Source organism: Homo sapiens, chromosome 8, assembly GCF_000001405.40.
Source record: "Homo sapiens chromosome 8, GRCh38.p14 Primary Assembly".
Lineage (NCBI taxonomy): Eukaryota > Metazoa > Chordata > Mammalia > Primates > Hominidae > Homo > Homo sapiens.
In genome coordinates this window covers 36,187,758-36,200,939 of record NC_000008.11, presented here as the reverse complement: position 1 = coordinate 36,200,939, position 13,182 = coordinate 36,187,758, and the positions used below count along the sequence as shown (strand labels likewise).

Sequence of the window (13,182 nt, the reverse complement as noted above, 5' to 3'; positions counted from 1 at the left end):
TGCTTAGGTAAACAAGGCAGCCGGGAGGCTCGAACTGGGTGGATCCCACCACAGCTCAAGGAGGCCTGCCTGCCTCTGTAGGCTCCACCTCTGGGGGCAGGGCACAGACAAACAAAAAGACAGCAGTAACCTCTGCAGACTTAAATGTCCCTGTCTGAAAGCTTTGAAGAGAGCAGTGGTTCTCCCAGCGTGCAGCTGGAGATCTGAGAATGGGCAGACTGCCTCCTCAAGTGGGTCCCTGACCCCTGACCCCCAAGCAGCCTAACTGGGAGGCACCCCCCAGTAGGGGCAGACTGACACCTTACATGGCCGGGTACTCCTCTGAGACAAAACTCCCAGAGGAATGATCAGACAGCCGCATTTGCAGTTCATGAAAATCCGCTGTTCTGCCGCCACTGCTGCTGATACCCAGGCAAACAGGGTCTGGAGTGGACCTCTAGCAAACTCCAACAGACCTGCAGCTGAGAGTCCTGTCTGTTAAAAGGAAAACTAACAAACAGAAAGGACATCCACACCAAAAACCCATCTGTACATCACCATCATCAAAGACCAAAAGTAGATAAAACCACAAAGGTGGGGAAAAAACAGCAGAAAAATGGGAAACTCTAAAAAGCAGAGTGCCTCTCCTCCTCCAAAGGAACACAGTTCCTCACTAGCAACGGAACAAAGCTGGACAGAGAATGACTTTGACGAGTTGAGAGAAGAAGGCTTCAGACGATCAAACTACTCCGAGCTACAGGAGGAAATTCAAACCAAAGGCAAAGAAGTTAAAAACTTTGAAAAAAATTTAGATGAATGTATAACTAGAATAACCAATACAGAGAAGTGCTTAAAGGAGCTGATGGAGCTGAAAGCCAAGGCTCAAGAACTATGTGAAGAATGCAGAAGCCTCAGGAGCTGATGCGATCAACTGGTAGAAAGGGTATCAGTTATGGAAGATGAAATGAATGAAATGAAGCAAGAAGGGAAGTTTAGAGAAAAAAGAATAAAAAGAAACAAACAAAGCCTCCAAGAAATATGGGACTATGTGAAAAGACCAAATCTACATCTGATTGGTGTACCTGAAAGTGACGGGGAGAATGGAACCAAACTGGAAAACACTCTGCAGGATATTATCCAGGAGAACTTCCCCAATCTAGCAAGGCAGGCCAACATTCAGATTCAGGAAATACAGAGAACGTCACAAAGATACTCCTTGAGAAGAGCAACTCCAATACACATAATGGTCAGATTCACCAAAGTTGAAATGAAGGAAAAAATGTTAAGGGCAGCCAGAGAGAAAGGTCGGGTTACCCACAAAGGGAAGCCCATCAGATCTCTCGGCAGAAACTCTACAAGCCAGAGGAGATTGGGGGCCAATATTCAACATTCTTAAAGAAAAGAATTTTCAACCCAGAATTTCATATCCAGCCAAACTAAGCTTCATAAGTGAAGGAGAAATAAAATCCTTTACAGACAAGCAAATGCTGAGAGATTTTGTCACCACCAGGCCTGCCCTAAAAGACCTCCTGAAGGAAGCGCTAAACATGGAAAGGAAAAACCAGTACCAGCCACTGCAAAATCATGCCAAATTGTAAAGACCATCAAGGCTAGGAAGAAACTGCATCAACTAACGAGCAAAATAACCAGCTAACATCATAATGACAGGATCAAATTCACACATAACAATGTTAACTTTAAATGTAAATGGACTAAATGCTCCAATTAAAAGACACAGACTGGCAAATTGGATAAAGAGTCAAGACCCATCAGTGTGCGGTATTCAGGAAACCCATCTCACGTGCAGAGACACACATAGGCTCAAAATAAAAGGATGGAGGAAGATCTATCAAGCCAATGGAAAACAAAAAAAGGCAGGGGTTGCAATCCTAGTCTCGGATAAAACAGACTTTAAACCAACAAAGATCAAAAGAGACAAAGAAGGCCATTACATAATGGTAAAGGGATCAATTCAACAAGAAGAGCTAACTATCTTAAATATATATGCACCCAATACAGGAGCACCCAGATTCATAAAGCAAGTCCTGAGTGACCTACAAAGAGACTTAGACTCCCACACAATAATAATGGGAGACTTTAACACCCCACTGTCAACATTAGACAGATCAATGAGACAGAAAGTTAACAAGGATACCTAGGAATTGAACTCAGCTCTGCACCAAGTGGACCTAATCGACATCTACAGAACTCTCCACCCCAAATCAACAGAATATACATTTTTTTTCAGCACCACACCACACCTATTCCAAAACTGACCACATAGTTGGAAGTAAAGCTCTCCTCAGCAAATGTAAAACAACAGAAATTATAACAAACTGTCTCTCAGACCACAGTGCAATCAAACTAGAACTCAGGATTAAGAAACTCACTCAAAACCGCTCAACTACATAGAAACTGAACAACCTGCTCCTGACTGACTACTGGGTAAATAATGAAATGAAGGCAGAAATAAAGATGTTCTTTGAAACCAATGAGAACAAAGACAGAACATACTAGAATCTCTGGGACACATTCAAAGCAGTGTGTATAGGGAAATTTATAGCACTAAATGCCCACAAGAGAAAGCAGGAAAGATCCAAAATTGACACCCTAACATCACAATTAAAAGAACTAGAAAAACAAGAGCAAACACATTCAAAAGCTAGCAGAAGGCAAGAAATAACTAAAATCAGAGCAGAACTGAAGGAAATAGAGACACAAAAAACCCTTAAAAAAATTAATGATTCCAGGAGCTGGTTTATTGAAAGGATCAACAAAATTAATAGACCACTAGCAAGACTAATAAAGAAGAAAAGAGAGAAGAATCAGATAGACACAATAAAAATGATAAAGAGGATATGACCACCGATCCCACAGAAATACAAACCACCATCAGAGAATACTATAAACACCTATACGCAAATAAACTAGAAAATCTAGAAGAAATGGATAAATTCCTTGACACATACACCCTCCCAAGACTAAATCAGGACGAAGTTGAATCTCTGAATAGACCAATAACGGGCTCTGAAATTGTGGCAACAATCAATAGCTTACCAACCAAAAAGATTCCAGGACCAGATGGATTCACGGCCAAATTCTACCAGAGGTACAAGAAGGAACTGGTACCATTCCTTCTGAAACTATTCCAATCAATAGAAAAAGAGGGAATCCTCCCTAACTCATTTTATGAGGCCAGCATCATCCTGATACCAAAGCCTGGCAGAGACACAACCAAAAAAGGGAATTTTAGACCAATATCCTTGATGAACATTGATGCAAAAATCCTCAATAAAATACTGGCAAACTGAATCCAGCAGCACATCAAAAAGCTTATCCACCATGATCAAGTGGGCTTCATCCCTGGGATGCAAGGCTGGTTCAATATACGCAAATCAATAAATGTAATCCAACATATAAACAGAACCAAAGGCAAAAACCACATGATTATCTCAATAGATGCAGAAAAGGCCTTTGACAAAATTCAACAACCCTTCATGCTAAAAACTCTCAATAAGTTAGGTATTTAAGGGACACATCTCAAAATAACAAGAGCTATCTATGACAAACCCACAGCCAATATCATACTGAATGGGCAAAAACTGGAAGCATTCCCTTTGAAAACTGGCACAAGACAGGGATGCCCTCTCTCACCACTCCTATTCAACATAGTGTTGGAAGTTCTGGCCAGGGCAATTAGGCAGGAGAAGGAAATAAAGGGTATTCAATTAGGAAAAGAGGAAGGCAAATTGTCCCTGTTTGCAGATGACATGATTGTATATCTAGAAAACCCCATTGTCTCAGCCCAAAATCTCCTTAAGCTGATAAGCAACTTCAGCAAAGTCTCAGATACAAAATCAATGTACAAAAATCACAAGCATTCTTATACACCAATAACAGACAAACAGAGAGCCAAATCATGAGTGAACTCCCATTCACAATTGTTTCAAAGAGAATAAAATACTTAGGAATCCACCTTACAAGGGACGTGAAGGAACTCTTCAAGGAGAACTACAAACCACTGCTCAAGGAAATAAAAGAGGATACAAACAAATGGAAGAACATTCCATGCTCATGAGTAGGAAGAATCAATATCATGAAAATGGCCATACTGCCCAAGGTAATTTATAGATTCAATGCCATCCCCATCAAGCTACCAATAACCTTCTTCACAGAATTGAAAAAAACTACTTTAAAGTTCATATAGAACCAGAAAAGAGCCCACATCGCCAAGTCAATCCTAAGCCAAAAGAACATAGCTGGAGGCATCACGCTACCTGACTTCAAACTATGCTACAAGCCTACAGTAACCAAAACAGCATGGTACTGGTACCAAAACAGAGATATAGTTCAATGGAACAGAACAGAGCCCTCAGAAATAATGCTGCCTATCTACAACTATCTGATCTTTGACAAACCTGAGAAAAACAAGCAATGGGGAAAGGATTCCCTATTTAATAAATGGTGCTGGGAAAACTGGCTAGCCATATGTAGAAAGCTGAAACTGGATCCCTTCCTTACACCTTATACAAAAATCAATTCAAGATGGATTAAAGACTTAAACGTTAGACCTAAAACCATAAAAACCCTAGAAGAAAACCTAGGCATTACCATTCAAGACATAGGCATGGGGAAGGACTTCATGTCTAAAACACCAAAAGCAATGGCAACAAAAGCCAAAATTGACAAATGAGATCTAATTAAACTAAAGAGCTTCTGCACAGCAAGAGAAAAAACCATCAGAGTGAACAGGCAACCTACAAAATGGGAGAAAATTTTCGCAACCTACTTATCTGACAAAGGGCTAATATCCAGAATCTACAATGAACTCAAACAAATTTACAAGAAAAAAACAAACAACCCCATCAAAAAGTGGGCGAAGGACATGAACAGACACTTCTCAAAAGAAGACATTTATGCAGCCAAAAAACATATGAAAAAGTGCTCACCATCACTGGCCATCAGAGAAATGCAAATCAAAACCACAATGAGATACCATCTCACACCAGTTAGAATGGCAATCATTAAAAAGTCAGGAAACAACAGGTGCTGGAGAGGATGTGGAGAAATAGGAACACTTTTACACTGTTGGTAGGACTGTAAACTAGTTCAACCATTGTGGAAGTCAGTGTGGCGATTCCTCAGGGATCTAGAACTAGAAATACCATTTGACCCAGCCATCCCATTACTGGGTATATACCCAAAGGATTATAAATCATGCTGCTGTAAAGAGACATGCACACGTATATTTATTGTGGCACTATTCACAATAGCAAAGACTTGGAACCAACCCAAATGTCCAACAATGATAGACTGGATTAAGAAAATGTGGCACATATACACCATGGAATACTATGCAGCCATAAAAAATGATGAGTTCGTGTCCTTTGCAGGGACATGGATGAAATTGGAAATCATCATTCTCAGTAAACTATCGCAAGGACAAAAAACCAAACACTGCATGTTCTTACTTATAGGTGGGAATTGAACAGTGAGAACACATGGACACAGGAAGGGGAACATCACACTCTGGGGACTGTTGTGGGGTGGGGGGATCGGGGAGGGATAGCATTAGGAGATATACCTTATGCTAAATGACGAGTTAATGGGTGCAGCACACCAGTATGGCACATGTATACATATGTAACTAATCTGCACATTGTGCACATGTACCTTAAAACTTAAAGTATAATAATAATAAAATAAAAAAAAAGAATAAGAACACCAACTTGAATTGGAAACCACCCAACTTCTGAAAGAAAAGAAAATTAGTAGGACTGAGTTTGTAGAAAGTAGCTGAGCAGAATTCCAGGTTTCCAGTTGCCTGGTTTCTCTCTGGCTTCAGGGGAGAAATCCACTCTTACCTGGGGATCTGAAATGCTAGGAGTTCCCTGATTTGAACAACCATGGCAGGAATGAAGACGAAGCATATTGACAAAGCATGTAAGTGTCCAGGACCCATCACAATGACATTAATTCCAAGTTCCAGAACCTCACATGAGTCCTTTTCAACATGGATCGCCATGGGTAGCCCATTTGGGAGGTTAGTCCAGGGTTTGAGGTCACTGTTAGGTTCTGTGAGTAAAATCTAGGATGAAATACTCTTGAGAGATAACCACAGGCTTCAAGGCTAGAGGAACAGCTAGATCCTATGCACTGGGAAAAGCCAAGGTTCAAATACTTAAGATCCATGCTCAATTCCAAAGTGAGGGTAGAGGCCAAAGCTAAGGAAAGGGTGAGAGTGCCAGAAGATTAAAGTTGCATGAACCTACTACTTCATTAGGTGGCCTGGCCAGTTTAAAAGGCCATGATCTGAGCAGAAACCATTAGACAGCAAATCTGAGCCTAATAAGATTGGCTAATAAAACAAGTGAGGTAGTTGAGCCTACAGTTGAAGTTTTTTTTTTGTTTTTTTTGTTTTTTTTTTTTTTTGAGACAGAGTCTTGCTTTGTCACCCAAGCTGGAGTGCAGTGGCATTATCTCAGCTCAAACAGCAACCTCCACCTCCTGGGTTAAAGTGATTCGGCCACCTCAGCCTCCCAAGTAGCTGGGATTACAGGTGCACGCTCCCATGCCCGACTAAGTTTTGTATTTTTAGTAGAGGGGAGGTTTCACCATGTTGGCCAGGCTGGTCTCAAACTCCTGATGTCAAGTGATCTGCCTGCCTTGGCCTCCCAAAATTCTGGGATTACAGATGTGTGCCACCACGCCCAGCCCTGAAGTTTCTTTTCATTAGGTGAGAGGCCAAGGAAGAAAATGACTCACAAGTGTGGTAAAATTCACTTCTCTTATTCTGTCATCAGCCAGTGTGTGGCTGTATACACCATAGCTCTTCCAAGGCCAACTGAATACCACTGCGGTACCCAAGGAAAGTTTTCTGCTCCCTGCCAAACTCCCTACTCCCTTTTCTACTAAGAGCAGAAAATTTCTAACAGTGACGATACAGTGTGTCTCCTGAGAAGTAGGCTCCTTTGCTAAAATTCCAAACACAGCATTCTGCTAGAACCCAATCAAGAAGTCATAGCCAGCACCTGACCTGCAGGAAAGAAAGCCTTCAATGCCAAAGGAAATGTGTACAGTTCTCTCACAGGTGATGGTTCAGAGACACTGCTTCAACAACTTTATTATGTAGACACAGGCCAGAGAGAGAATGCTGGGAGGGTGTAAGAGTGAAAAGTGAATAGGCTAAGTTCTTGACAGAATGATGAAGAAAAGCCAAAGCTTCTCCAGTTGAATTTCATGGTGGTGACTTTGTTGACAGAAGAACAACTTTCTCTTGGAGGCATCAGCTAAGACTATCCTTTCAGAGCCTTTAATCAGGGGGATATATATGTTCTCCACTGTATAGAGAACCAAGAGGGGGAATTGGCTATTCCTGGACAAAAGTCACGCAGAGCTTCCTGATGGCCTCCTGTCACAAGGTCAGGTTTATTGACTATTTCAGCCTTTGTTCCATGTAACTTATCTTGTGTAGGGTCTCAGAAGCCCACACACTCCTCCTGCAATGGAATGTGTTTGTTAAGAGTCATATACTAGCTCTCAGCAGTGTTTTCTAGCCAATCAATATGCTGAGAGGCTCTGTGAAAATAGGCGAGAGCCATCAAGGAGTGTCCAGTTTCTTTGTGTTTTCACTTTTATGTCTGTTAAAGGTCAGACACTATATTTATCACAATCAAATATACACGGATATTGAAAAGATATCTTTGTGAGCACATTGTTTGCAATAGGGTGGGGTGTGACAGGGTTTCCTTCTGGTTTCTAAAAACTTCACATGAAACAAAAGCACATTACACTTTTATATGTTCTCTTCCATCAAAGGATTCCAAAGTATTTAACAACTTTCATTAAGTTCCTCCAGCATCTCTCAGGAGCAAATCAATATTTTTTCACACACCTTGTTACAAGATAGGGAAATAAAGTCCAGGCCCCTAGCACATATTTAACATTCTTTTCTTGAAATATGAAAAATTCTTCTTGAATAGATTTAATTACAAGGGAGCAAACTTTTTTCCTTTTAATATGTCTTACCTTTTTTTCCTCAGTTAGAAGTGAGACCAAAAAAAGCAGGCCTTATAGAAGAAGCCTGAGGAAAATATGATTTTTTGGAAGCCTGAGGAGTAAAAGCAAAAACATTTTTTTAATCTCTTAAGCATTATGGTAAGATATCTGATTTTTTTTTCTGACTGTAAGCAAAAGTACAGCCATATTTTCAGAGCCCCCAAATATTTTTTTAAAAAAGATAGATTCACAAAAGCAACTGAACCAAGTCTTTACCTCAAAAGTGTCATCAGAATGAATTAGAAGTTGTTCCTCTGTCAACCTGTGAAGAGGATGGGGGTGATGACTTTTATTTTCTGTTTTCTTTGTAGGATAATTGGGTTTCTCTGTGTCTTTTGATTCAGGATTGACATGCTCTGCTCTCAAAATGTCTAATTGTCTACAGGGGAGAGACTAGGTTCTGCAGCAACCAATAGATCCTGGGCTGTTCTCCACATGATAGGACAGGAAAGGGCTGCTCTGCCCTGTCTGAGGTGGCTCCCTGGGGACTCAGTGGGAAGAAATAATCTAGAAGAACAAAGCAAGTTAACTACTCACATTTCTCCACCTGGAGGCTGCTGTTTGTAGGAAACAAATTGCGATAATAATAGCTACACTTCTGTCACCTTCCTAGGTTCACCTTGGAGAAGGATTAATGCTTCTGAGATGGAGGTTTCTTTGCTGTTAGGGTGAAACCATGAGTGCCTGCAACTCTCTTTTAATGGATTCTGGAAGTGGAGGCCGTCTGCATCTCCTGCCTCTGAAAGCTGGAATCTGAAAGCATCCAGGCTGAGCTGTATCTAGACTTCGTAGTTATGCAGCGGCTTCACTGCAAAATTCAACCTCTAATTCTAGTTGCTTATGGCATAAACAAAGGGAAATGGCAGCTATTTGGTGTGGTAAATGAACATTTTAGGATTATACCCACTTTTTCTTGGGTGATCTGTTCTCAGGCACTTTATTCCAATATTCTCTAAAGTGGTTTTGGCATATCTTGATGGTCAAGAGGGTATTGGCATTCTTCGTCTCTGTTCATGCCTGCTTTGCCAGGAAGAATCACATTCCCAGAGAGGGTTTTGCCTGTTGAGCTGTGTGTACAGATGTAATGAGATGAGTTGGTGGGATGGCTAAGCAATGGTAGCGTCTTCTTTCCCTACTGTCACCTACAGGAAAAAGAAATCAACATTGTGTTTCAAAAGACCCATTGAGGAAGGTCTACTCTGAAAGAGAAAGGATAAATCAAACTATTTTTCCTCCTCTCACACACAATACAACACAGAACACATCTGTGACCAGACCTACGTAGTTTTTCATACACAGCAAGCAATCCGTTCTCCAGTGAACACCAGCTGGATGTCCTATAATTCAATTCAATTTTCACACTGTCTACCTAGAAGTAGCATTAGATTCCACAGGTTCAGAGTTCAGTCCCATAAGACTGTCCTCACTTCAGATCCCAATTACAAGTCACAGGTTGTGATCTGTGTGCTTCTGACCAACTGTCTATAAATCATTTTCCCACTACCCACTCCTGGAGTTCAGTTAATTCTCTAGAACAGCTCACAGAACTCTCAAGGAAACATATTACTTATCTTTATCCATTTATTATGAAGGATATTACAAATGACACAGATGAAGAGCCAGACCAAGAGATGCATAGGGCAAGGTATGGGGTTGGGAGGGGCAGCGTGGAGCTTCCATGCCTTCTTTGGCTGCACACCCTCTAGGAACCTCCATGTGTTCAACAATCTAGAATCTCTCTGAACCCAGTCCTTTAGGGATTTTATGGAGGCTTTATTATGTAGGCAAAGTTCATTAAATTATTGACCATTGGTGATAAAGTCAACCTTCAGCCCCTATTCCCTCCGTCCCTAGATGTTGGGAGGATGGGAGAGTAGGGCTGAAAATCCCAACTTTGTAATTATGCCTTTGTCTTTCTAGTGACCACACCCATCCTGAAGCTATCTAGTGGCCACCAGCCACCAGTCATCTTATTAGCATACAAAAGACAATCTTATCAATAGGAAGATTCTAAGGATTTTGGAGCTGCACTCCAGGAACCAGGGGCAGAGACCAAATACATATTTTTTTTTTTATTATATCACAATATCACATCTACACATAGGAAAATCATATATCCTGGTTTATACCACCTGCTTTCCTAATGTAGTTGTAACTAATACTTGCTTTTAGACTTAGAAGTGTTCTGTTTTGAATGACATATGGTCACACTACCAGGCAGAATTTGCCCCAAAATAAAGAAAGAGAGAGAAATACCTAGTGAGTTAGACAGAAGGGCTGGTCCTAAAGAAGGAGAAGTCATATAGACTGACAACGAAGCAGGGTTTTACCAGGAAACAATTTCCTCATAGCACCCTGGACCTTCCTAGTATGTCTATTGAGGTTGATGCCAGGTGTTAAGAATCCAGACTACAGTAAGACCCCTATGCCCAAGCTTGAGTAGTAACAGGTCTACATATTGTGAATAGATCATGTGTACTTGAACAACATACATATCAGAGACCATCATGGTTGACTGAAGATTAGAGAACATTTCCTCAGTTTCTGGATACTCACATAAGCCACCTGTTTCCAAAAATATTAGAGTTTGAATTTCTTTGGGAGAAAGAAGTTCCATGACTAGTGTAGGCACGAAGTCAGAATCAATTTGATTTAGAAAGAATAAAAATGTAGGATTTGTTACAGCTAGATGCAGTGGTAGAAAAATCATACATAATATACAAGCAGCTAAGAGCTTCTGTTTGAATCACTAAAGTAATTGGTAGGCAGGTTGTTGTTGAGTTCAGGACCAGGTGGTTAAATCTGCAGTCTTGAGATCCCACAGAGAACATGTGAGGTTGGTGTTGTCAGTGGCCTCAGATTCCTGTAGGGTCTTGTGAGCCAAAGTGGAAAAGAATGGAGATGATGGCAGAACTGCTATAAGGTCAGTCATTTATTCAGTTGAGTCCACAAAGAGTTATTAAGCATCATTAATTCTTCCATGGCTGTGATGAAGTCTCTTACCCATGGATTCATAGACTATATGCTGTGAAGGTCCTTCCAACAAGTACACATTGTCTCAGATTGTAGAGTCACCTGTGGGAAGAGTGGCTTAGCAGGAGAGGTTTTGTGATTCATGTAAAACAGACCTTCACTACCCTCCATGTGCCCAAGGATTCATGTCTAAGAGAGAGAGGCTGAAATACGAGAAGAACCAAAGTCCTAACAAAAAGCAAATATATATTTGGAATAAATTATTAAAACACAGATATAATGGAAACATGTCCAGGGGAACTAAAGATTTAAATAATAATGTAATTAGCTAATTGATTAATGTTCTACCTCTTTCTTCAATGAATGTAAGAATGCAAAGGCATAAGTAGAATGTTATTATTAAGGAAGTAGCCTGAGAGAGTGAGTACTCACCTCTTACACAGCATAAATGTGCCTTATTTATTCTAAGGTAAGAATACAGGTGGAATATGGCTGCTGTAGGCAATTTTAGACTTTATATGTTAAGGAGGGCCTCAGAGAAAGACTCCTTGAAATCTTAAACAAGCCATGGTTGTTCCAATAAGGACATCTGAGGGCTTATATCAAGCCAAGTTTCATGAGTCAATGAACCAATGGAAGATTTTAATGTCCTGCCTGCTATTTCTCACTTGAGCATCCACAACCAGAGTACAAAACAATTTGAAGTCATAAGTGATTATGAGCCATAATAGGACCCATAGATAGCAGAAGCAATTGGAATTCATGGGACATCATGGACTTACTGGTCCTGAACAGCTTTGTTGGGGGCTGGGGCCTGAAGTGGACCTTGAAGTGTGGGTAGGAGATGGGTGGAACACCAATAATAAATTTCATCATTGTCCGCTGTTTTCATCTTGACCAACAGAAACTGAAACTAATGTGCTTGTTTTTTCCAAATTCGTGTTCTGCCAGAGGCTTCTCAGAGAATACCTAATAATAATAACAATAATAATCAGAATCAGCATCAGCATGACCTAGACCTTGAGGGGACACAATGATGAGTGTCTATGTCAGGGTTGGTCCTCCCATTTGCAGTGACAGTCTTCATAATTAGTCCTGGGTGGTTGCCCAGGAGGAAAATGGATACGTCCACTCTCTCATTTACTGAGGCCACCAAGGAGCCATTGATGAAAGTGACCTTAAGCCACAATCAACTTTGGCTAGCCTCAAAGCAGTGACCTTGAAGTGGGAGGGTCTAACTATAGACTATCTTTCCTCTGACAGGCTTCAGAGCTCTTGGCACATGGTTGATTTCAGCATTGCAGCTGTTGCATTAAAAATTGTTGTGCTGCCACTAAAATCTTCTTGCTCCTGCCCCTTTCCCCAAATAATTATCAGTTACAGCACAGATATTAAAAGTGTGCTTTAAAAATTAAAACACAGTTCTAAATAGAAGACCATATAAATGTGGAATTAATTGCTGTATATGCTTCGAATTACCGAGAGACTTCACTTTATTTCTGTCACAGCAGAAAGGGCTGCAGCGGGAAGAATTCATGTGGAGATCCAACCATGGCCTAGTTATTTTGTGTTTAATATGCTTCAGACATTTAATTATTTTTTATTAATTCATTTGCCATTAAACTGCCCAAAGACTTAGACACATTTTGCACTGCGTGGCATATCAGTGTGTTAGTTATATGGACTCCTTAAAAGGGTCAACATTAAAGTTCAGTATTGGGGTTCAAAAGAGATTAGAAATCAAACTTTGGCTCCATTACTTAACATTTGTGTGAATTTAAATAGTTAACCACTTCTGAGCTATGGTTATGTCATTTGTAAAGTGATTCCTACTTCCTAAGGCTATTATGAGAATTAAAAATTTTGGACTTAATGACTGTTTTAGGTAAGCACTCTATAAATGGTAATGATTATCTTTATTAGTTTGAAAAAATGCTAACCATGTACTATCCACCAAGGAAAAATACATACAATCATTGTTTGCTTTTCCCTATAGTGGTAAGCAGACTTCTTGAGACGAGCTCAAGTTCCAATTCAAACAGATGAACCTGAAAAAAATCAAGGTAGAGAGGAGTCTTTAGATGGCCTGGACCTCAGCTCACATTTTTCAGACTTATATCTTACTAATAATCCCAAAGAACATGCAATTTTAGTAAAACTAGCTTCTGTAGT

The 13,182-nt window shown here is 40.4% G+C and overlaps 2 long non-coding RNA genes across 2 annotated transcripts in view; both read right to left on the bottom strand.

Annotated features, from left to right (window-relative positions):
• Positions 1-5,897, bottom strand: part of LOC105379371 (uncharacterized) — a 73,309-nt gene extending 67,412 nt beyond the window's left edge. The window contains exon 1 of the long non-coding RNA XR_949668.2: positions 5,844-5,897. This is a non-coding gene — a long non-coding RNA (uncharacterized LOC105379371). The remainder of the gene's footprint in view (positions 1-5,843) is intronic.
• A 2,100-nt stretch (positions 5,898-7,997) lies between these two features.
• Positions 7,998-11,291, bottom strand: LOC105379370 (uncharacterized). The gene is made up of 4 exons (XR_949667.2): positions 10,594-11,291; positions 8,945-9,179; positions 8,254-8,299; positions 7,998-8,089 (listed from the first exon to the last, which is right to left on the bottom strand). It is a non-coding gene; the product is annotated as an uncharacterized LOC105379370 (long non-coding RNA).
• Positions 11,292-13,182: the final 1,891 nt, after the last annotated feature.